Raw genomic sequence first — 25,896 nt, 5'->3', positions numbered from 1 at the left:
TTCTGTCTGGTGCAGCATAGAATTAGTCTCACCTTACATTCATTTCAGCATGATTAAGAGAGAGGAAGAAAGGAAGAAAAAGAGAACAACTAAGGGGGAAAAGCAATATATGCTTTTCATTAAAGTTATTCCCCTAAATCCAAACATTTCAATGCTTCATGAACATTGTAATATAATATTTTAAGGCTATTCACAGGGAACCCTTTTGAATTATCAGTGATGTTCCCCACAAAGCAATTCTCCACTTTTTCTTGGGAAAAAGGTTTTTCCAGAATATGTCCTAATGCAGATTTCACCTTTGTGACATACACCATTTTAGACTGCTGGCTAATTTTGTCCCAAAGTGTCACTTTTTTTCATTCACTGCATTCTTATTTTATACCCATATGAACTTTTAAAGGTATATATTCATGTAAGTAACATAATACAATTAAACTATCATAAAATTCCAGGGAGTTTATAAAGAGTGCAGATGGAGCAGAACAGGATCCATGTAGTTCTGATTACTTGACTACATATCCCCCTAACATCAGAATAATATCACATCTTCATAGCACAGCAAGATGTACTGATAAATAAATAATTTTTAATTTTTCTTTACAGAAATATTCTACAGGCACCTTTCTTTTTTGAAGGCTATAACTTGCAGAATTGAAGTATGCCAAATTCACTCACTCCTTAATTAACTCCTTCCATTCATTTGTGTAATTATTCATCCATTCACTCATTTTACCTAAAATAAAATACTATGCAGAGTGGGCTTCAAAATATGTGAGATATTTCCCTATTTTGAGGACTTCAAATGTATGTATAAATATATATACATATATATATATGTTTTGAGAATCCATGACATGTCAAATCCTGTACACATCACTCCACTAAGATAAATGTTATTTCCCCCGATTTTCTGGAGGAAGAATCTGAGGCTCAGAGAAGTTAAATAATTTATACAACCTCACCCAACTACTTTACTAAGCAGCAGAGTCAGGATTTAATGAAGCCATCTTGGTCTCATTCTAGAGTACATGCTCTTAACCAGCACACATTGCCTCCTACTTAAAAGTAAAGTTTTAATAAAATAAAAGTAAAGTTCAAATTTACAAAAAAATGTAGAAATGCTCACAGCAGATTCAAAAATCTGAATTCTTTATAAAATTCATTAATTGGTTATTTAATTATGTTTTATTTCCCTTTTTTTCTCTGGATATGTATGGTGAGAGGCATTATTTTCTGGTAGATGAATCTAATTCATTTAAGACATGTTTTATAATAGAACTTAGAATACTTCTCCTTTGTGCCTTTCACTCTTACATATCCTTCAGATTCCAGCTCAAAAGTCACTCTCTCTAAAATTTTCCCTGATCCCATTCCCAGAGAGCACAAATCCTTTCCTTCACCATGGAACCTTCACAGCATGAAGTTCAGGTGAGAATTATAGCACTAGATCATGCTGGGTCGGATTTGTGTCTGCCTGCATCTGTGTGCTTATCTTTCTAAAGTGCATATGAGCCCAAGAGGGTGAGTCATGTTAGAGACTCCTTCTTTCATAGCACCAGAAGCATTGTTTTCTATATAGTTCTAAGGAAAGGCACTAGTGGGCTTTTTGACAAAGGAAGGTTCCTGGGTCCAACTTGAGTGGGATGCCCTGGCTACTGTAATAAACCAAACTAAAATGTTAACCTCAGGAAGAAAGATACATTTGTATTATCTGCCTATACTTGCCTTGACATAAAAATGAGCATTGAGAAAAGATTATCTGATGGTTACATTTACTCCTGAGTATGAGTGTTGAGATAATGACTAAAAGAATGTGTATGCCTAGGAGAATGCTTTATACACAATTTAATAAAGTAATATAAACACAAAAAAAGGACATTAGAAAAAGTTGATTGTGGATATGGAAAACTAACGTAGGTTTATGTAAGGTATTGTTAAAACTATTTGTTACTTGACACTGAAAAGAAGAATGTCTTTACTTTTAACATGTTAAAGTTTCATATGTTAAGAATTCATGAGGTATTTTCTGTAATCAGACTGCCTGGGCTGCAATAATGTTTTACACTGCTTATTAGCTTAGAAATTTACTTCAATTTTCCATGTTATGCCCACACATAGTGTTGTTGTCAAGGATAAATAGAAATAATGTATGTAATATACTTGCTGAGCGCCTGGCGTATGGTAAGCTCTGCATAAATGTTAGCTATTATTAATGTAATTTTAAGTTTCAGGTTTAGTTATGTGGGTTACTTAGCATGCTGTTTGGAGGGTGAGATTAAAAACAAGACCTCATGAAGTTAATTAAACATCTACATTATGAAGGATGATCAAGTTATTGAAATCTTGGCAAGCAACATTTCACCTTTACTTTATGCTACTTAGCTTGATGTTCTTTTTAGTTTTGTTTAAATTTGGATACATAAAATGTAAAACTCTCTACATTTGGTAAGAATAGGTTTTGATGCTTCCTCAGGTCAGAAAATAATCAAGACTGAATGTTGAGGTGTTGGGAGTAATGTAGTAGAGAAAACAGTGCCTAGAGAAATATATCAAACTGCCATCCTCAAGCAATAATTTTTTATTCATTCATTCCAACACAGGTTTTACAAGAAACAGACTATTAGGGAGGCAGGATAATAAAAAAGGGATTGTACATGAGAATAAAGTCCAAAGCTTCTGAAATTAAGTAAACTCCAAAACTCTCCATGAAGAACCTGTAGCATTAGGAGTTTTTCTGCAAGCCAGGCATCCATTTATCTGGTGTATTAAGCAAATCTTTACACCAAATTGCAGAGTTAGAAAGAAAATGTTCTGAGAAATATGTAGATCTTCTGAGAGTTCTATATCCAACCTTTCTACTAGACCAGCTCTTTGCCAGTTATTAAGTGGTCCTAAAATAGAGCCCCATAAGTCATAATCAGGATAAACAGAAAACACTGATGGTGGGACCTCTAAGTATATGTGTCAAGACAATCTAGCAAGAAGCAAAGAATAGTAACAGCCATGAGAGAGACAGGAAATAGAAAAAAACAAGAAGAATTTCTTCATAAACTAGCTTAAATTTTTGACTGCATATTCTCTGTGAAGTGAAACTATTTCCTGTTGAAACCAAAACTCAAATAGAAGATATAAAATTCAAAGACAAATGGATGTACAGTACAAGGAAATCAAAATTGAATGTCAGACCATAAGGAATAATAATGATGCTCTGTGGAGATGGCAAGAGCCGCACTCAGGTGGTGACAATGGGGTCCCCCAGTGGGAGGTTACAACAGAAGAAAAAAGAAATGGGAAAGGCTGTGTGGAAGCTGATGGGATGTGTTGGGGAGCATTTGAACCACTCCTGGGCTCTCTCAAAGTTAACTATTCAGATTCTGAATTGGGTTGCATGTCCTGTGTTAGCAGTAAGTGATAAAAACTGGTTAAATAATGTTTACATTCAGTAATTCCTGAATAATATAACTGTTTTATTTAAAAGGAACATTCATAACACTAAAAAACGAAAACCAAAACAAACCATAGAATATTATACATTAGTCTTATTCATATGTTAATTTTGTCTTCCAAACATTGTTCATTAGTGGCTAGATCTAAATATCCAAATACAACATAAATTCTCGGATTCAGATAGGAAGTGTACATCTATATTAGACTCTGAATGAGATTTTGGTGACCACCTTATCGCAGTAAAAATTCACCCTGGGCACACACTTAGGAAAGGGCTGCTTCCTATATGTCAGAAAAACCTTTAATTAGAAGTATTTACTGCAGGCTCCTTGCTTCCGATTCTCTTTACGGAGGAAACACAAACCATGCAGCATTCGTATTTATTGGAGAAAAGCAAAGATTAGAAGCTTCTCCTAGTTCAATAGAAAAGGAAATAAGGAGCCAAAGACATTGACTGGCAGAAATTCAAATGAATGGGAAAGTTATGTTAAGAGATACAGCAGGAGGATGTTAAATTACAGAGAAATGCTTTTTTTGTGTTTATTTTTTAACAACTGAGATAGAGTTTTAAGAGAATAAAACATTTCCAGTTATTTAAATGTCCTTGGTGCATAGCCTTCATCTCCATAGAGATTATAGATTCTAGCCCCTTTCACGTTCAAATACTTTTCATCTCTTGACTTCATTTTTTGCTTAATTGTGTCTTTGAGAAACAACTAGAGGATTCTGAGGTTTCACAATGATATCTAGGTGGTGTTGCTGCACTGATATTTACCCATTGCAGTGAAACCTTTCCTCATCCATCATGAGGGTCATGGCCAACACTGCTACAACAAATGACAGGTTAACGAGAGGAAAGCATTCCAAATTTATTTAATCATAATTTTACATGACACAAGAACCTTCAGAACAAAGGCCCAAAGATACAGAGAAAACCGCCGATTTTTATGCTTAGATTTGATGAAGAGTGGATAGCTGTGTAGAAATCTGATTGGACAAAGAGGGTATGATCTAATAGTAGTATACTGAGTGGGAAAACCCAGCAAGGCCTGTCTGTTTGGATTTTTCTTGGCTTCTTTGTGTAACATTCTTTCCTCCTGGGTATGGATCAGTATCCTTTCTGGAATGGGGCTCTCATAACCTACTGTTCAACAAGGTAGGTCAGAAGATTTCTTTAAGGCCAGCTCTTAACAGAAAGGTAGTGGAAGATTACAGTAATACTTTAGGTCTTATTGCTGGCCTTGAGAAAATGGGGTTCGGTTTGTATTGCCTAGAGAAAGAGGAATTCTAGTTTCTATGGCTTGCCTAGAGGGGGAAATGAGGGGCAAGGGTCAGGAGGGCAGGAGAAAGTCAGAGAGAAACTGTTTCTGAGGCTTTCACTCTGAGGTTTTGTTTTCTGAACCCCAACATTCCACAGCAGTTGGTTATTAGAAATCAAAAGCCCGGTGTCAAGTTTATCTTTGTTTGTCTATTGAACAAACAAGTTCATACTAAAAGACTTAATTCTTGTAACCTTAGATTGTGAAGCTTAAACAAATGCATCTAAAAGTCTGAATTTTAAAATTCTGACCTTGGGTTAATAAGCTTGAATCTAGGTGAGGATGGTATTTTAAACATGCATGCAGCTTTGCAATCCCAAGTAGTCTTCAACTTTTTTAGTATTCTAGTGTTGCAGAATATACTCCATTTGAAAAAAGGGGCCATGACTTTGAATTTCATGTCTCCAAGCCAAATTTTACGAAGGTCCCTTATTAGCTCACTGCCCTGTGTGAGACCCATAATCTCTCCCTGTAGACTTGTTACATTTGAGAATATAGCAAGGACCACAGAGTCTGCCTAAAACATTTGAAAGAAAAGAAAATCATTTAAATGGGGTTGATATCTCATATCCATAAGACTTTGATTTAGTCTTATAAAGCCTCTCTTCTCCCAACCAATTTCCTTATTTTGTTCCTATTTATCATCCAGCTGCATCTTATTAATTATTTTTTAAGGAAAATATCCTGAAATGAAATTACTGGGTCAAAGAACTCACACTTTACATTATGATACATATTCTCAAACTTACCTCTAGAAAGTTAGGGGTGCAAAGTTAGACCCCAACCAACTTGATATGAGTACGTTTATCACCTTAAATTCTGCCTGCCAGGTGTGGTAGCTCACACCTGCAATGCCAGCTCTTAGGGAGGCAGAGGTGGGAGGATAGCTTGAGCCCAGGAGTTTGAGACCTGCCTGGGCAATATAGCGAGACCCAGTACTACCCCCCACCCCCACCAAAAAAAAGGAAAAAAATTCTGCCTATCCACAGATATTCGGAATAGTATTTCTCCTTCTAATGACTAGTAGTCTCCATCCTTTGCTTATTTTTGTAATAGGGGAGTCCACATTTTTTTTATTTTTAGAAACTCTTGATATAAGATTAATTAGGTCTCTGTCACATGTTGCAAGTGTTTTTCTATTTTGTTGCTTGCTTTTCTATTTTGTTTATAATTTTGTTTATAATTATGCTATATAAATGTTAATATTTATGTAATCAAATCTATCATTTTTTCTTAAGTATTTTCTCTTTCTGACTTTAATATATATTTAGAAAGTATTTTCCTATCCTCATGAATGTAAAAGAAATCCTTCACCCATATTTCCTTCTACTTATTTTATGATTTTTATGGGTGTTAGCATAGAATAATTGTTAAAAACATTGACATACACAAATTTGGATTTGAATTCTGCTCTATAATTTTAAGGTGTGGGAATTTAAGCACATTATTTTATACCTAAAATGGAGAAAATGATTTCTATGTCTTCTTGCTATGAGGGCATTAAAGGAATAACATCTATAGAATAGTTCATGGCCCAGCATATTATAAGTGCCTACAGGAAGATATTTTAGTATTATTATCCCTTATATTTGAAAATTTCATTCAGCTGTGATATATTTTCCGATGAAAAGTCAGAGGCATCTTTTCTAAAACAAAATACTTTTTCATCATAATTTTTTCTGATACCACCCTATGTTCTTTAGAAAAAAACTTAATTCTTACCTTGGCACGAACAATATTCATAATCTTCCTTCAATAGGAATGCCCAGTCCAGGTCTCCTGCAACTCCTTACTCCTATTTTATTCTCTCATTACACAGAATTATCTACTTCCTCCTGGACAAGACTTGCACTTTGACCCTTTTGTCAAACCCTTCACTCTGGGGTTTTGTTTTCTGAGCCCCAACATCCTATAGCAGTTGATTATTAGAAATCAGGAAACCAGGTGTCAAGCTTATGGTGATTGTCTATTGAATAAACAAGTTCAAACTAAAAGACTTAATTCTTGTAACCTTAAATTGTGAAGCTCAATCAAATGCATCTAAAAGTCTGAATTTCAAAATTCTGACCTTGGGTTAATAAGCTTGAGTGTAGACAAGGACGGCATTTTAAACATGCATGCAGCTTTGCAATCCCAAGTAATCTTCAACTTTTTAGTATTCCTGTGTTGCAGAATATACTTCATACGAAAAGGGGGCTGTGACTTCTCAAAATGATTTCCCTGGAATCCTCTGCTTTATTCCCTGGACATGTTAGAATCATCATATCAGGCCCAAATCAAGAGTCACCTTCTCTTGATGGAACTTTCCGTTGTGCCTCCCCCGCAACCAGGATTACCTGCTCCCTCCTCTGGTTTTCATGGAGAGTTTGCCTCTCTCCTATCTCTTATAGTACACATGGGCATCACTATTCCCCACTAGATCATGAATATCTTGTTGGAAAATATTCTGTTGTGCTTTTCAAACTTTTCTGCTCAGTGTCTGACACACAAAGTAGGAATGAAAAATATTTGTCAACTTCAATATACAATTCCTGCTCTATTTAAATACACCAACCACAATACTCAGAGATAGCTCTCTTATGGGAAACACATTGTATAAATGTGTGTCTAAAATTATGTATGTACATAATTATTCTATGTAAATATTCGCTCATTACATATGACACCTCGATAGGTTACATTTATCAATTGATTGCATCAATCATGAAAAATGTTTTTGGCAATTTCATTACGTCTTTTGGGCTACAGAAAATCAAGAGGTTTAACACTTTTAGAAACAGGTATATTTTGTACGAATTTTCAGTTGGCAAAAGCTTTAAGATACATGGAAAATGAATGCTGAGCTACAGTTGTGAGAATTTAGCCTTGTTGGCCTTGTGTTCAGATTACCGTGCCACTTCCACTATTGTACACTGAGATCTAAGATGAACTGTAACTGGTCTGCAGAAAAATCCAATTAAATTAACATTTAATGAACACCATTCTGTACCCAGACATTATCACATAGGTTACCTTTTCATTTTCTTTCTTTCTTTCTTTCTTTTTTTTTTTTGCCTGTACTTTCTGTGATGCTTGCTTGAGAGATAGTAAAAAGTTGTTTGTTTGTTTGTTTGTTTGTTTGTTTTCAAATAAAGGGATTCCAGGGCAAAATAAGTTTGGGACGTAGCATATCCTAATTTCTCTCCTGAGAGGCTCACTATCTCCTGAACACAATAAGGGTTCTGAGAAGTCTGACAGCTTATAGAACAATAATTTAACCCATTATTCCCCAAATATATTTGAAAGTTGAACTTTTTCTTTCTAGCGCATACATACTGCCTATATTGGGAAAGCCTGACAGAGATTATTTTCATTAACCTTTCCAGCAATTTTGTCAACAAGTATTGAACTGAAACTCCTGCCTTAAAAAAAAAAATGGAGAGCTTGAAAAATGTCACTTGGCTATGACAGAATAGAATCCAGGTCTCCTCATTCCTATTCTGAGACTCTTTATACTTCAGGTACCTCCTGCAAATTATTAAACCACTGTGGTGATTTTCTCATCTAAGAAAACAGGTTGTTGCTCTGGACATTCTCAAATATACTTTTCCAGGCTTTTATCCACCTGGAATAACCCCATCCACACCCCATCACCACCATCACCTTTTTATATTCTCATTTTCCCAACATCATGCTAGAGTCTTGTATTCTCCATGAGGTCTTACTGTAACAACTTAATCTTTTCTTGTATCCAAAAATCTCATGGAATTCTCTGAGTTCTTCATTCTGGCAGTGATTAGATATTGCCTCATGTAATATAACTAATTCATGTGTGCCTGCCCTATTTCTCTAATATCAGACAGTTTGTCTTAATCTTTGTGTTTATCTGTCATCATCATCATACACTCTATATAGCACTTATTGAATGAATGAATGAATTTGTGCAGAGGGAAATGACTAAGTGAATGATGGAATTGTGGACACATGACATGGACAAAGTGTCTTGAGTATGCATCCGTTTAATATTTCAATTATTAGTATTTTCACAGAGTGGGGAAAGTAGTGTACACTGGTAGGGAGCATGGACTTCTTACTAGATCAGTAGGTCTCACACTGTAGTATTTATCAGAATCCCCTATGGGGTTTGTTAAAACACAGATTGCTGAGTTCATTCTTTAATGCTGAGTTTCTCATTCAGTAGGTCTGGGATGGGCCCTGAGAATTTTATTTCTAACAAATTTCCAGATGATACCAATGCTGCCGGTCCAAAGCTCATATGTCGAGAACAACTAAGCAAGGATAAATTTAATTAGTTCAGCAGCTGAACTTGCTCCTTTCTGCCGTCTGACTGAGAAACGCTCTTAAATATTTAGCCTTCGTCTCATTATTTTATAAATGAGCTTAATATACTTAAGTTGCAGAATTATGATGATATCATATATTAGAATGGGCCAGACATAAAAAAGTCACTATTACATATGAGATTGCTTCCTTTCCTCCTTGCTGAGGAAGTGGCTGAGAGTGTTTCATATGGCAGTCCTTCCTTTTTCTTGTCTCCATAAGTTCTCAGAATTTATACTATACTATTCATTTATAAATGTGCCCATGTCCAGCAGCATTTGCCTTGGAACCAAGATATTGAATAACAGGAGCAATAACACAGACCTCAGGCACGGAATTCATTACTCACAGCCAACGGCAGTTCTTAGTTCAGACTACAGTCAGTTCCAGTTACAAATATTCCTTGCTGAAGCACAGGCTTCTGCTTCAAAACAACTCAGAGACACGGACTGCTTTCTGTTTTATCTCCTCATATAGCAGCGATAGTGCTTAAAGTTATCCCCAATCTGATGCCATTCCGTCTCACTCCATCAAAAGGCACAAAGGAGCCCTATCTTGGCTTTATTACGGCATCCTTTCAACAGACCCTTTGCTTGGGAAAGAATAGAGCTGAGCTTAAGTGATACTGCCTCACTTAGGAACTTGACCATTAGCAAAATTAATCGTAAAAGAGAAGCTATAGTAGTTTTAAAATTCTCTGATGAGAGATTTCTCTTAATTTTAAGTGGTTGGATTACATGAATATATGCCTCCTTTTAAGCCTGGATTATGAAAATGGTCTCCTTTAAAGTTTAAAAGAAAAAAACCTTCCTATTTTGTTGGGCTGTTTTACTGTCTAAATTATTATATGAATTATATATGTTTGACTCATTCACTCCTGACAATCAGAGACTATATTCACTCTGTTCCCAGTTGGGTTCTGAGGTTGAGCCTAAGATCTGAGTCATAATCATGCACATTAAAGTTCAATGCCATTATATTTTCTACATTCACAGAAGGCCAAAACTGGAAATGTCCATAAGTATCAAGTAGCCTTGCCTGACATTAAGTCTTTCAGGCTCCCCTAGGAGGAGTTAGAACAGTGACAGAAAGGACTTGGGGCTCCTGCCACATAATACAGTTTCTGAAGATCAGGTGTGACCTCCCTACTGCTCTTGGAGAGACATTTCACTCCCTGCTTGGGAAAATTAATTATTCCCACTTGGCTTAATTTTCTGAGAACTTTTCTCCTCAGATTTCTGGCAATTCTATCCCCACTCATCAGCACGACAACAGGGCTGAATAAGTCTGAAACACTGTCAGTGATAGATGAGTGGGCTTATATTTTGGTGACTTTGCTTTCTACACTTTGGCATACAGCTTCTTTTCATCAAAGAGGTAAAACAAACCATGGAGAACATGAAGAGAAAAACCTTTTGTCTCTCATCTGACACCAGATGGATCACCCCAGTCCCTGCCAGTAGCAAGATCGGTAGAATATGAGAAAGGGGAATCAGGATCACTCAGACCTTTTTCTCTGCTACTGGGCAGCCAATGCTTACTGGAGGAAATAATAAAATCATATGTATTGATTCATTCCAGATAAATGCTCTCTAATTTAAACTAAGCCTTCTAGGCTGATGAGTAATCATTTTATTTATCTCCTGTTGAATCATAATTTTATTTTCTTTTTTAGCTATTTCAAAGTGTCTTTACTCTTAATGTCTGTAAGCCTAGCCAAAACCCTTCAAATTGCTGAATAATTTTTCTCTAATTTATCAAGATTATTAAGACTATTTGAAAGATGTCTTCTCGGCTTTCCTTGTTACTATCCCTGTACTTTTTATTCACCATCTCTTTCTGCATTGTATTGGTCTATAAAATCATAAACTGTGTGGCTTATAAACAACAGACATTTATTTCTCACAGTTCCGGAGGCTGAGAAGTCCAAGATCATAGCAGATTCAGTCTGGAGAACACTTTCTCGTGCATAGATGATGCCTTCTTGCTATGTCCTTGCATAGTGAAAGGGCCAAATCAGCTCTCTGGGATCTCCTTGAAAAGGCACTAGTCCCATTCATGAGGGCTCATCATTTATGACCTAACCACTTCATAAAAGGCAGTGCCTTCTAATACCTTCACTTTGTAGGTTAGGACTTTAGCATATGGATTTTGGGGGCACACAAACATTCAGGCCATAGCATGCATATCTAACACACTTCTGAGGACAAACAGCATTCCCATTTTCTTTCCCATGGCTCTATGTGTGCTCTCAATCCAACCTTCTCATACTTTCTCTTTGACTGATTTGTTATTTTCTTACTTTGCTTTGTCCTTCTTTTTTTGCTCTTTACATCCCCATTTTTGCTTGGGAAAGAATCCAGCCGAGATTAAGTGCTGATGTCTTACTTAGGAAATTGATCATTAGCGAAAGTAATTGTGAAAGTGAAGCTATAGTAGTTTTTACTCATGATCATATCAAACTATCAGTCTTAAAATAATTTTCCTCCTTACTTACCTCTCTCTCAAGCTCTTCTTCAGTCTCTCTGCTTTCTTCCACGTCTAAAACTGATTTATGATCTAGCTTCTGCCCCCATTACTGTTTGATAACTGGCATGTTTTCCAGTCTACATCGTCTTACTCTCCGCTGAATTTAGCCATGTAATCTCCTAGCTTAAAAAAATTCTTTGATATTTTAGCATTTATTATTGCTTACAAATTTTCATCTCTCTTTTTTCTCATTAATGTATTCTTATTCAACATCTCATTTCCTAAATGCAAGTATTCCCTTAAGATTCTATCCTAATCCCTATTTTTGCCTTTCTTCACTTCCTCCTTTGATGAGCTCATTCATCCTCATTTTTTTGAGCCGTTTCTACTGGACAAGTAAAAGTCAGTCTCTCTGGCACTCCTCTCTGTTTAAATTCGTACCTCATGAGCTACTCTAACTCACAATGTTGTTAAACAAATTACATCTTTTTCAAGCAACCTCTTCTCTTGGTTTCTAGTTTTGATCATTCAATGCTGTTTTTCTGTTTATGTCATTATTATTTCTCTACTAGAAAGTAAGTTACATGAGGACTAGCATTTTCATCCCTCAATCCTAACAACTAAAATAATTCTGTTATGTGTTCATCACTACATAAATATATGCCAAATTACTGAATGAAAAAAAAAATAAATAAATCCTGATTCTCTAGGCTTGAAAATGTTCAGCCATTTCGACTCTTTTTTCCACTATGCACTAATCAAAACGGCAGCCAAGTTGCTTGAGTTTACTTTTATAGCATCTTTTGTGTCTGTACTTCAAATGCAGTTATTTTGGTGGTTGAAATTTTTTATTATCTCTTGCATAGCCCTTTGTTTTAGCCTTATAATTGGTCTTCCCAATAGTCAGAAAAAACTTCCTCTTCTCAAATTCTCTCATGCACTTAAGATATTTATTACTTGTGTTAGATAGCATAGCTATTACATGCACTTTATAATAGTTCTGTAAATTGCACTCTCATAAAGTCAGTTTTATCATGATAATCTCTTTATCTCTCAGAACACTTAATGTATGTTTCTTTATTTTTAAAACAAATAGTTGATGAGTAGATGTCAACGAGTAAACACCACTGGCAGAGTAAACTTCTTAAAGCACAATTATAATTTAGTCACTTTTTTACAGTTAGGGCCTTTAATGGTTCCTCATTGCCTCCTGAATTAAGTTTAAACTCCTCAATCAATAATTTAACCTCTTCCCTCGATTCTATAATATGGTCCAAAATGACCTTGCCAAGGTTATGCCTCTTTCTTCTCTTATACATCTTGTACTGTAACCATTCTGGGCTACTTCTCCAATTACAATCCTCATTTTGTTCAGATTGTTCCCTTAAATAACAACCTCATCTTTGCCTCTGCCTCCTAAATCCTGTCTATTCTTCATTTATCTTCAAGAATTCAGTACTTTGGAAGTAAAGGTGAAACAGATAAGAGTGAGAAGATAAGGAAAATAAAGAAATTGAGGACTTATTTCCTTGGATTTATCTTTTGCCAATTTCCTGCCTAAATCACTATTACTGTTCTACTCTTTGCTGTGGACCCATAGCTAGCTTTTAGCCTACACCGTGTTTAAAATACTCTAGTTAAAATTCTGTAGCCAATATCATGGCATACAGGTCTAGGTTTCTTCAACCTTAAATCAGTTACAATTTTGTAGGAGAGATTGGCAAGTAAAAAATAAAATGTAGTCTGCATCAGTGAACAAACATATAAATTGGGGTTGGAAGAATAGGATATGCATCTGGAAAACCTTTTTCTCATAAAATTTTATGTCCAATTTTCTTCCATATATAATTTTCCTGATTTTCTTTTCTATGAAAAACAAACAATATCTTTAGTCCCTGGGATGCTGGCAGCAGCATGAATCACTATCTTATCAATGAATTTTATCAATGTTAATATTGTAAATAAATTTTTACATAAATATGGGCAGTATCATCTGCTCTGAGGTTGCAAAAAATATACTCAGGGCATTGTCTATGCATCACAGATATTGATTTTATAGGATATAGTTTTAGAGTCAACTGGAAGCCCCATAATACATTAGTCAATAGTTATTTGTAAGTGGCCACTGAAGCATGGCCCTAGGTGGCAAAATGTCAGTTGCAAAAAAGGTAGGCTTTTTTGTTTAAGTGCTTACAACCTGAAACTTTAATTCACAGTCCTACTCAGGATCTGTTGTGATCAAAGCTCTGCATGCCAGTTCTCTACTCAGAAATCTGTTAATTAACACCTCTTCACAAGTAGAGCTGATTTTGATTTTCTATGAAGGAAAACATAGGTCATTCTAATTTTCCTTCTGCTTCATTCATTCTTTTGTCTTATAATCTTCCTGGCACAAACAGGTAGGATCAAAAGCTGCACCAGTTAGTTAACTTCCATACCACCTTAAGTCTGCCCAGATATTTATGTCTGCCTACCAGACAAGAATTTGCTTTCTACCTCACCCAAGAGTATATTCTATTATGTATCATAGCTACAAGGATGTAAGCTGACATTCTAGGTAGGATGCTAAACAATGTCAGAGAAATACTATAAAGCATCTTATTGAGAAAACCATATGCTTACTAAAGATTAGAATAGCATAGGCAAGCCAAGCATGGCCACATAAGAGAGGGTGAGTGACTGAGGAAAGAAAGAAGTAGAAATCAAATGACTTAGAGCCAATGAGTTACCTAAAGACAATAAAAATTAAACAGCACACATGAATGTTTGGCGATTATGTAAAAGGTGCAAAGCTATGTGTAAACCTAGAGCTTCTCCTATTCAAGTTTTCTTAAAGTGATCCGATTTATTTTCATGTGCTTGATTTTGAGCATAGTTGGCTCCTTTTCATTCATTTATAAAAAAGGCCCGCATAATGAACACTGCACTGTGATGACTAATCTGAGAAAGAAAAAGGGGCCACTGGCTTAGCAATGCCTACCAGATGGCAGCTGGACACAAACACCTCCAGGTATCACAAGGGAATACAAATAATAGTTTATTGCAGGTGATAATACCACTTAAATAATGCAATTTATGACTAACAGATTTGAGAATAATTTAGAGTTCTAGCATGGATGCCTATTTGGCATTAACTGAGACCTAAATAAACAAAAATCAACTTTGACTCATCAGGGGAAATAAATTACATTTAAATCCATTCTTCTAAAATGAGAGGAAGGCATTCCTAGATTATGGCTAGCACTTTTGTGCATCAGAAAAATTAGCCTGTAAGCTGCTCTGACGAAGCTCTGAATAACTCAAATGAATAGAGCCTCAGTTCAATTTGAAATTAAATGACCATTTACAGTTTTGCTGGCATCCACGCTATGCTGGTCTTTTGACAAGTGTCTATTTATTTATTTATTTACTTATTTATTTATTTATTTATTTAATGACTATACCATACAGCATGCCACACAATCAAATCTTCCTCCACCTCTGCAATGTAGAACTGTTACTGTCTAGGTTTATTGTGATATAAAGCTATCCAGGTCTTATCAAGACAATAGTTAGGGCTATTCTAACTCAAAGACTAGTTGAAGTAGTGCTTTAAACACATGACCATAATAATTGTTTTTCTTTAGTATATATAAAACCAAGAAAGAAAATATTTAAGGGTAAATTACTCAATTTCAGTCTTGTCTTTCTGTTTTGTTATCTTCTTTAAAAATAGATTCTCTTTTACTACTTTGATTAACTACAAATAAAATAAAATAAAAATGAGAATAAAAATATTATGTAACATTAATGTCTGAATTCAAAGAGATATCAATATTTTAAGTTTTTAAATTCTAATTTTTATGGGAGGGATTTGGGGATAAAATTGTAAAGACATTATTGAAAAATAGCGATATCAAATATTAACAAAATTCCTAATCTGTTCTGCAAATGTGTGCACCCTTGGTAAGCAACTTTACTCTGTTTATAGTTCAACTTCGTCTAAGTATATTACTTCTGGCTTCCACCTACTGAGCATGCCAGCATGAGTAATGAAAGTTATTGGTTTAAGAATGTTCACTGGAATGTCTACACTGGCAAAACTAACAGTTCCTGCAGCCTCATCTTCTGTGTATTTCGAGCTGAGTTTGTAAGCAGATCAGAGGGTCTATAAAGAGTTCAAACTACTCTTCTAATATTGTTTCCAGTTTGCACATTAAGTTTATCCAAATGTCTAAGCAGGCTTTGAGGCTCCCGATGAGATTTTTGCTTCTCTCTGTGACTATCCTTATGTCACAGTATAAAAAGATAATTATACCTCTCAATGAGCATGGCATTTCCTCATTCTCAGGCCTACTTTCCAGTTTCATAGAATGAATTTGTCAGCCTAGTAAACTAATACGGAAAGAAGTAGAATCCTTGAATTACATACTAAGTTCATTCCTTACTTCATAGAGGAGGAAATTAAGAGCTATAATGGTTCTGTAATTTGCTTACTTTTTGTTTATGTCGAAACCAGAATTGGAGTATATGTTTCTTAATTTTTAGTCCAAATTTATTTTCATCTTCCCTATCTTTCTCATGTTGTTTATGTTATTGTGATTTTATTTATTAGCCTATTTTTTATTAACAGCAGGAACATGTTCATCGTGAAATAATATTTATTAAAAACATGATTTATATTTCAGTCCAATCAGTCAAGCATGTCTGAGTAATTCAAGGTACAAATAAGGCAATTATGTATCCAAAGAAATGAAGCCAATTGTTTTCTTTCCCTGGGGAAATAGTTGTTCTTTTCAAAAATTACCAATTGCATTTAATTACAGAAAAAAAATTAAAAATATGACAAGCATGTAAGAAGAAAAAATGTATGCATAATCTACCTTTTAGAAAAAAAAAAAGAAAAGTTTGTTAAACTACTAAACTTTGCTTAGAGGAGAAACACTGCATGGTTTTCTTACTTAATGAGAGTTTAAAACATATATGGTGTGTTAGCGTCTATGGATGCCATAACAAACGACTATAAATTCAGTGGTTAAAGAAGACAAATTTATTTTTTTTCTTTTTTTTTTTTTTAATTATACTTTAAGTTTTAGGGTACATGTGCACATTGTGCAGGTTAGTTACATATGTATACATGTGCCATGCTGGTGTGCTGCACCCACTAACTCGTCATCTAGCATTAGGTATATCTCCCAATGCTATCCCTCCCACGTCCCCCACCCCACCACAGTCCCCAGAGTGTGATATTCCCCTTCCTGTGTCCATGTGATCTCATTGTTCAACTCCCACCAATGAGTGAGAATATGCAGTGTTTGGTTTTTTGTTCTTGCGATAGTTTACTGAGAATGATGATTTCCAATTTCATCCATGTCCCTACAAAGGACATGATCTCATCATTTTTTATGGCTGCATAGTATTCCATGGTGTATATGTGCCACATTTTCTTAATCCAGTCTATCATTGATGGACATTTGGGTTGGTTCCAAGTCTTTGCTATTGTGAATAGTGCCGCAATAAACATACGTGTGCATGTGTCTTTATAGCAGCATGATTTATAGTCCTTTGGGTATATACCCAGTAATGGGATGGCTGGGTCAAATGGTATTTCTAGTTCTAGATCCCTGAGGAATCGCCACACTGACTTCCACAGTGGTTGAACTAGTTTACAGTCCCACCAACAGTGTAAAAGTGTTCCTATTTCTCCACATCCTCTCCAGCACCTGTTGTTTCCTGACTTTTTAATGATTGCCATTCTAACTGGTGTGAGATGGTATCTAATTGTGGTTTTGATTTGCATTTCTCTGATGGCCAGTGATGATGAGCATTTTTTCATGTGTTTTTTGGCTGCATAAATGTCTTCTCTTGAGAAGTGTCTGTTCATGTCCTTCGCCCACTTTTTGATGGGGCTGTTTGTTTTTTTCTTGTAAATTTGTTTGAGTTCATTGTAGATTCTGGATATTAGCCCTTTGTCAGATGAGTAGGTTGCAAAAATTTTCTCCCATTTTGTAGGTTGCCTGTTCACTCTGATGGTAGTTTCTTTTTCTGTGCCTTCATGCTAAAAACTCTCAATAAATTAGGTATTGATGGGATGTATTTCAAAATAATAAGAGCTATCTATGACAAACCCACAGCCAATATCATACTGAATGGGCAAAAACTGGAAGCATTCCCTTGGAAAACTGGCACAAGACAGGGATGCCCTCTCTCACCACTCCTATTCAACATAGTGTTGGAAGTTCTGGCCAGGGCAATTAGGCAGGAGAAGGAAATAAAGGGTATTCAATTAGGAAAAGAGGAAGTCAAATTGTCCCTGTTTGCAGATGACATGATTGTATATCTAGAAAACCCCATCGTCTGAGCCCCAAATCTCCTTAAGCTGATAAGCAACTTCAGCAAAGTCTCAGGATACAAAATCAATGTACAAAAATCACAAGCATTCTTATACACCAATAACAGACAAACAGAGAGCCAAATCATGAGTGAACTCCCATTCACAATTGCTTCAAAGAGAATAAAATACCTAGGAATCCAACTTACAAGGGATGTGAAGGTCCTCTTCAAGGAGAACTACAAACCACTGCTCAAGGAAATAAAAGAGGATACAAACAAATGGAAGAACATTCCATGTTCATGGGTAGGAAGAATCAATATCATGAAAATGGCCATACTGCCCAAGGTAATTTACAGATTCAATGCCATCCCCATCAAGCTACCAATGACTTTCTTCACAGAATTGGAAAAAACTACTTTAAATTTCATATGGAATCAAAAAAGAGCCCGCATCGCCAAGGCAATCCTAAGCCAAAAGAACAAAGCTGGAGGCATCACACTACCTGACTTCAAACTATACTACAAGGCTACAGTAACCAAAACAGCATGGTACTGGTACCAAAACAGAGATATAGATCAATGGAACAGAACAGAGCCCTCAGAAATAACGCCGCATATCTACAACTATCTGATCTTTGACAAACCTGAGAAAAACAAGCAATGGGGAAAGGATTCCCTATTTAATAAATGGTGCTGGGAAAACTGGCTAGCCATATGTAGAAAGCTGAAACTGGATCCCTTCCTTACACCTTATACAAAAATCAATTCAAGATGGATTAAAGACTTAAACATTAGACCTAAAACCATAAAAACCCTAGAAGAAAACCTAGGCATTACCATTCAGGACATAGGCATGGGCAAGGACTTCATGTCCAAAACACCAAAAGCAATGGCAACAAAAGACAAAATTGACAAATGGGATCTAAAGAAGACAAATTTATTATCTCACAGTTTTGGAGTCTCACAGTCCAGAATGAGTCTCGTTGAGCTAAAGTCAAGGGCAGGGCTGCACTCCTGCTGGAGTCTATTGGGCAGAATTTATTTCCTTGTCCTCCCCAGGTTAGTCTTGAGAACATCTGCATTCCTTGGTTTGTGGCCCGCTTCCTCCGTCTTTAAAGCAAAGGCCAGTCGAGTTCTTGAATCACATCACTCAGACCTTCTCCATAGTCATATTTTCCTCTGATTCTGACTCCTCTTCTGTCTCCCTCTTTCACTCTAAAGACTCTTGTGATTACATTGGTCTTGCCCAAATAATCCAGTATTATCTTACCTAGGTAAGGTGAGCTTACTTCCATCTGCAGCCTTGACTCCTTTTTGATATTGATGTGGTTTGGCTGTGTTCTCACCCAAATCTCATCTTGAATTGTAGTTCCCATAATCCCCACATGTTGTGGGAGGGACCCAGTGGGAGGTAATTGAATCATGAGGGAAGTTGCCCCCATCCTGTTCTTGTGATAGTAAGTTCTCATGAGTTCTGATGGTTTCATAAAGGGCTTCCACCTTTGCTCAGTTCTCATTTTTCTCTCTCCTGTCACCATAAGGTATATACTCCTAGAAGGATGTATTTGCTACTCCTTCTGCCATGATTGTAAGTTTCCTGAGGTTTCCTCAGCCATGCTGAACTGTGAGTCAATTAAACTCTTTCCTTTATAAATTACCCAGTTGTGGGTATGTCTTTATTAGTGGCATGAGAATGGATTAATATACACATGTAACATAAGAAATTCATAGCTTGTGGGGATTAGGACATGGACATCTTTGGGGAAGTCATTATTCTGTCTACCAGAAAATGGGGTTCATGGACCAGAGGGGCACAAATAAATATTCTGAAGACTTATTAGTCTATCATAACTTCCACAAATTTCATAGCTTAAAACAACATAAATTAATTTTATCACAATTCTAGATGCCAGAGTGCTTAAATCAGGGTGTCAGCAGGGCTGCACTCTTTCTGAAGACACTAGGGGAGAATCCTTCCTTCTTTCAGTGTCTCCAGGCATTTCTTGACTTGTGGCTGCATAATTTCAATTTCTGCCTCTATGTTTATGCGGCCTTCTCTTCTCTGTGTGTCAGTACCTTCCGTGTTTCTTCTAAGGAGACTTATAATAGAATTTAGGGCCCATCTGGATAATCCAGGATGACTTCATCTTGAGATCCTTAACTTAATTATGTTTACAAAGGCTCCTTTTCCAACCAAGGTTACATTCATAGGTTCTGAGACATGACTGTATCTTTTGGGGACCCACTGTTCAATCTACTACAGAAAGTTATATTATATGTTTGAATGCAGGCAGGTCAATCTGACCACAATATGTAGTTGTCTTAACTGAACTGTGAATAGTGACAGAGGTCACCAAGCTATTGCAATGTTTCATGCAATGATAGCATGAAATAATTCTGTGGTGCAGAACATAATGAAGACGAGGGCCTGTATCTAAGATATATTTTGAGGTAAAAAACTACAATGACTTGAGGACCAGTCCGATTCCAGAAGTTTTCATTTCCTTTGGACATTTTTATTTCTTTCTTTATTCTATGAAAGACATTCACGAATCCCTCAGCCCACTGCAAATGACAGCAGAGAGAACATAGGTGGACAACCGAACAGAATGTAATAAGTGTCAGCAAAGACTCAGAGATCCAAAACCACTGGAACCACTCAATTTTATTTAAGTAATAGAAAAAGATTGAAGTTCTGAGACTGAAGTTCTTTCTTTATCCTATGTCATATCATATTTTCATTAGCAGACATATCTTGCATAAATCCATTACTTTAAAAAAGTGTAATATTATCTTTTTTGTTGTTATAAAGGCAATATATGAGATTGAGAAAAATTTGGTGAATACCAAAAGATTTAAAAAATTAGAATCACTGATGTTATAAGTACCCAGAATAAAACAATATTTTTATCTATAAAAATAAAAAAAGAAATCCCTCTCTATCTGTTTTCCAGTGTATTATCACATCATACAAAATAGCTGTGGAAATAGCACCAAATAGAGAGGGAATATTCACAATGATTTGAATTAAACTTCATCAGGACATATGTGAAATACACGATGGAGCACCTCACGTGGAAAGTCTAAAATAAGTTCATCATCCACATTAGCTAGAGCTTAGTTTGAATTTTCACCATAATTAAATAGGTTTCAAATAGTTTGAGTTAATATTATGGTCAAGTGGGATGTGTAACTTTGACTTGAAATCTCTGTGACACCTTGAAAGCTAACCCATCACCTTCCAGAGGCAGAAATTTATATGTAATGAGTAGGCCACATATTGTTAATCAGGAAGACACCTACCATTTAAAGCCATGGAGAGAATAAAGGTTTAAAACATTGGTTTAAAATTTCTTTTGAATGTGGCTAAACTTAGTGACTCATTCTGATGAACAGAGTGCAGAAAGAGAAAAAAAAGTGACGCTATAATAGGGAAACCAGAAGATAGCATCTTAACCAAGTGATCAAAGTTAGTGTCACTAGTAATAAATCTTGTTGATTTTGTGTGTTCCTTGATATCACCCAATAAGAAGAGCACTTCTTATTTGTAGTAGCCTTCCAAAAAAATCAGAACCCCAGTATAATCATATGAAATCATCAGACAAACCTAAATTGAGAAGCATTCAACAAAATATGAGAACAGTACTCTTCAAAAGTGTCAAGGTTATGAAAAGGAAGAAAACACAGTAAGACTGTCAAAATTGGAGGACACAAGGGAAATATGACAACTAGATGGAATAAGATATTGTGGAAGAGAAAAAGACATTAGAGGGGAAACTGGTGAATCCAAATAAAATATGTAGCATATATTTTAGTGCTTCACAATAATTTCTTATTTTCAATGAATACCTCATGGTTATGAAAGATATCAATATTACAATATGTAAGAACTATTTCCATTATATTTACAACTCTTCTGTCAATCTAAAATTGTACCAAAATAGAAAAATTTTAAGCAGTTTCTCTAAAAGACAACTTAATGTCATATGTACATGCATGGCAGAGTATAGAATTTATTTATTTCAAATGTATTTTTTTGGTTCTCCCAGGAAATTCTAGATAGGGTAGCTCATTTTGATGTATTTTCTTTCATATGTATACACAGATTTTTATTTTTATTTTTCCAATTAACATATTGAGAATGTTGTCCATGTTATTAAATGTTCATTAAAATTTCATTTTGATAGCAGGAAAATATTCTACTCTTGATTAAATTTTAAGTTATTTAATTCTATATAATGAGTATTCAGGTTATTTCAGTGTTTGCTTGTACATGGAATTAGATAAACTTTATTCTTTGCTATGACTTATTGGGAAGCAACAGCCCAATAGAGAAGTGATGCTGCTATCTCAGTCATATTACCTTCAAGGGTTTATCAAGACCCAGACATAAAGAGAAACTACCAGCTAAGTCAGATGGAAAAGGGCATGCTACTGTCACAGTTGTGATCATTTAAATATTATTGAGCAGAGACCTATTTCTTAAAACAAACAAACAAACAAAACAGGTCACAAGGGATAGGAAGGACTGTGTATCTGCAGAGGATCTGCAGAGGGGAGTGGAGTAAAAGGAAAGAATGCACTGGTAATGCGTGCTAGTGTGAAACTGTGAAGCTCTATTTTGCCAAGTGACCCTATCTATACCTAATATCTGCTTTTAAAACCAGCTATGATTTATATAGTTCTTCAAAATGTCTTACATATAATTAATCTATTTTAAATTGATTGACTTTATTTTGAAGCACTTTTATATTGACAGAAAAATTGAGCAGAAAGCACACAGAGTTCCCATATACCTTCTTTCCTCCTGTTCAAAGTTTTTGGTGCTATTGACACCTTGCTTTAGTGTAGTACATTTGTTACAATTCATGAACCAAATATTGATACATCGTTATTAACTAACATTTGTAGTTGACATTAGGATTCAATCTTTGTGTTGTACAGTTCTATGGATTTTGACAAGTATATTATTCTTTTTTTTTTTTTTTGCCCCATGAAGGTTTATCAAATGTTTTACCTGTGAAAACTCCAGAAATATATTTAAATTTTCAACAATATTGAAAAACCTCATAGTATTCAATCAATTAGTTAAACTGTGGAAGAGACTTTCATTAATTATAAAACTGAACACGCTGTATTGAGGAGCACAATATTATACAGGCATTGCCAGGGGAACAATACCACTGCGGCAGCCAGGAAGTCTGGGATAACCTTGAAAGAATGACTCCATACTCTAGACAATCCAGACAAATAAGAAAGTAGAAAAAGCTAAGTCATGTTTGATAAAGAAAACGAGGACTGAGATACTTAAAAGAGTATATCAATAAATTTAATATTATGAAATAACTTTCCAAATCAATGATATTAAGAATATAATTTAACAAATGCTGCTCCAATTGGTTATCTGTTAATATAAAAAGAAATCTTTTTTTATACAAACAATAAATTTTAGATTAAGCAAAGAAATTGTTTTACAATAGATGAACTACAAAACAATAAGAAAACAAATATTTACAAACTCTTTCAAAAGTAGAAGAGGAGAGAACAGTTCTCAACCCATCATATCAAGCCAGTATTATCCTGACACCAAAGCCAGATAATGACATCATGAGAAAACTACAGGCCAATATCTTTTATGAATACAGACATCAAAATACTCCGCAAAATACTAGTACATGCAATGTAACATTTTGTGTAAAGTATTATACATATGTACACATGGATATAGAGAGTGGAAAGATAGACATTGGAGACTCAGAATAGTGGGGGCAGAATGGGGATTGGTGATGAGAAATTACTTAATGGTTACAATTTATATTATTTGAGTGATGGATATACTAAAAGCCAAGACTTCATCACTGCACAATATATCCACGTAACACAATTGCACTTGTATCCCCTTAAATTTTTACAAAATTTTTAAAAGAAAAAAATAAAGGATTATACACCATGACCAATTTGGGATTTGTTCTGGGAAAGAAAAGTCGATTTAATATCTGAAAATCAATGAGTGTAATATACCACTTCAACAGAATAAAAGACAGTACATATTTAAATCAGAATCCCATTAAGACAGCATTTCATATCCACTGGGATAACTATAATAATTTTAAAATAATAATAATGTTGCCAAAGATGTGGAGAAATTGGAGCCATCTTTCACTGGTTGTAGAAATGTAAAACAGTGCAGCTGCTCTGGAAAACAGTCTAGCAGGTCCCCAAATGATTGAACACAGAGTAATCATATGATCCAGACATTCTACTCCCAGGTATATATACTGAAAACATATATTCCCACAAAACCTTGTACATAAATGTTTATAGCACCATTATTTATAATAGCCCAAAAGTGGAAACAACTCAAATATTCATCAGCTCATGAATAGATAAATAAAATGTATATCCATATGATGGAACGTTATTCAGCTCTATAAAGCAGTAAGTATGATAAGTGCTACAACATAAATGAACCTTCATGACATTATGATAAGTGAAAGAAGCCAATCATAAAAGACCACATAAATGAAAAGTTGCTGGGAAATTGAAGGCATGCAAACACATTATAATAGAAGTCATACTTTCTATTTTCCCCACGTAATGTGCTAATTTGTAATTCAGAGGAAGGAGAGGATATTTGTAGCTTAGAGGGGCCTAAGGCAGGGTTCATTGAAGAGTTGCAATCCTATGTGAGCAGGACAATAAAGGATGGTTAATATTGGAATGTGTAAAGGTAGGATAAAGGACCAACCAAAAAGAGAAAGCAACATGATTAAAGGGTAGCATATGTATCATCCCTAAGTTTGGTCCATAGGTCATGAAAGCAAATAGTATGAAATGAATTTGTAAATGTAAATTCACACCCAGTTAGGAGGTAATCTAGCTTTGAGAGTTAGGTCAAACACTGCCAGTATAGATCTGAAATCAATGGATAGCCATGGGCATTTCAAGATGGGAGCTGGGAGGTTTTACATGATTAGAACTGTGGTTTTGAAAGATAGACAAGGCAACTATGTGCCTGGGAGAAAAAGTTGAAAAACTGTGCACAGTAATTGCTATCAACCATGTTAAATACCCTACGTTGGAAGATCAGGCTAAATTGGACATGCATTAATGGTCAGTGCCTGTTCTGTTTCCATGAGGCTTTGAATAAGAATGGAATTTCTTTTTACATCAAGCAGTTTAAACAAATGAAATGTTGCAGAAAACAACAACAAAAACAAGGTCAGAAATTTTATTGAATCCCTAGACATCCACTAAATGGGAAAAGCAATGACCTTATTTTCTAAGACTTTTTCAAAACTTGCCAAGTGGAAAGCTTCAGAATATTCTAATTATTTGTCAAGAGCACAAAATTTGTTATTCGTAAAAAGATCAGTGTTATTTAATTGCTACAACTGGGACAGGGCCTAATAATATCAGGTAAATATTTTACAGTACAGAAAACATCTTTTTTTTATTGCTTTCTAACCTATTTGACACATTTGAATGAAAAAGAGGACCATTTTATTTCCTTTATTAGTTAATGCATTAGGGGCTTACCCGCTTAAAGAGTTTATTCTGTTGTTTATTTGTCTTTTCTTCTAAATGGTCTTACTTATATCTCTGTTTCTGTAGTTGTCTGCCTAAAATGTACATGGTGATATAGCCTAGAGTGAGGCCTACTTAAGGTGCTTATGAAGGTGATAACAGATTTATTAGAATGTAGAATATAATATTGTACATAAAGCTACCGAATTTTTCTTATTCAGGAGACTCTTCATTCTAAGAATGAAAATATGTGAAGATATTTTAGTAAATATAAGCTTTTATTGTTACTCTTTTTCAGGAGGGGAAATTTTTAGCTTTCATACATCTTATAAAATAATGCTAAGAGGGAAACAAAAAAGGGGACTTATGCTGTATCATAGATGATTCATAAATAATTAAAGAAATGGCTAAAACTCATCTACATTTTTAATACCTTGTTCTTCCAAATGAATATTTAGAAATAATAAACTCCAATGTAAAGTAAGTTTACTATAAAATTGTT

General features: G+C 35.1%; 1 long non-coding RNA gene across 1 annotated transcript in view; it reads left to right on the top strand.

The window, feature by feature from the left end:
• The first annotated feature begins 4,526 nt into the window (after nucleotides 1–4,526).
• LOC105377408 (uncharacterized) overlaps nucleotides 4,527–25,896 on the top strand; it is a 43,299-nt gene continuing 21,929 nt past the window's right edge. Inside the window, exon 1 of the long non-coding RNA XR_001741822.2 lies at nucleotides 4,527–4,603. This is a non-coding gene — a long non-coding RNA (uncharacterized LOC105377408). The remainder of the gene's footprint in view (nucleotides 4,604–25,896) is intronic.

The sequence above is a fragment of the Homo sapiens genome, chromosome 4, assembly GCF_000001405.40.
Source record: "Homo sapiens chromosome 4, GRCh38.p14 Primary Assembly".
NCBI classification, from domain to species: domain Eukaryota; kingdom Metazoa; phylum Chordata; class Mammalia; order Primates; family Hominidae; genus Homo; species Homo sapiens.
The sequence above is the reverse complement of the archived record's forward strand: the minus strand, read 5'-3'. Positions and strand labels throughout refer to the sequence as shown.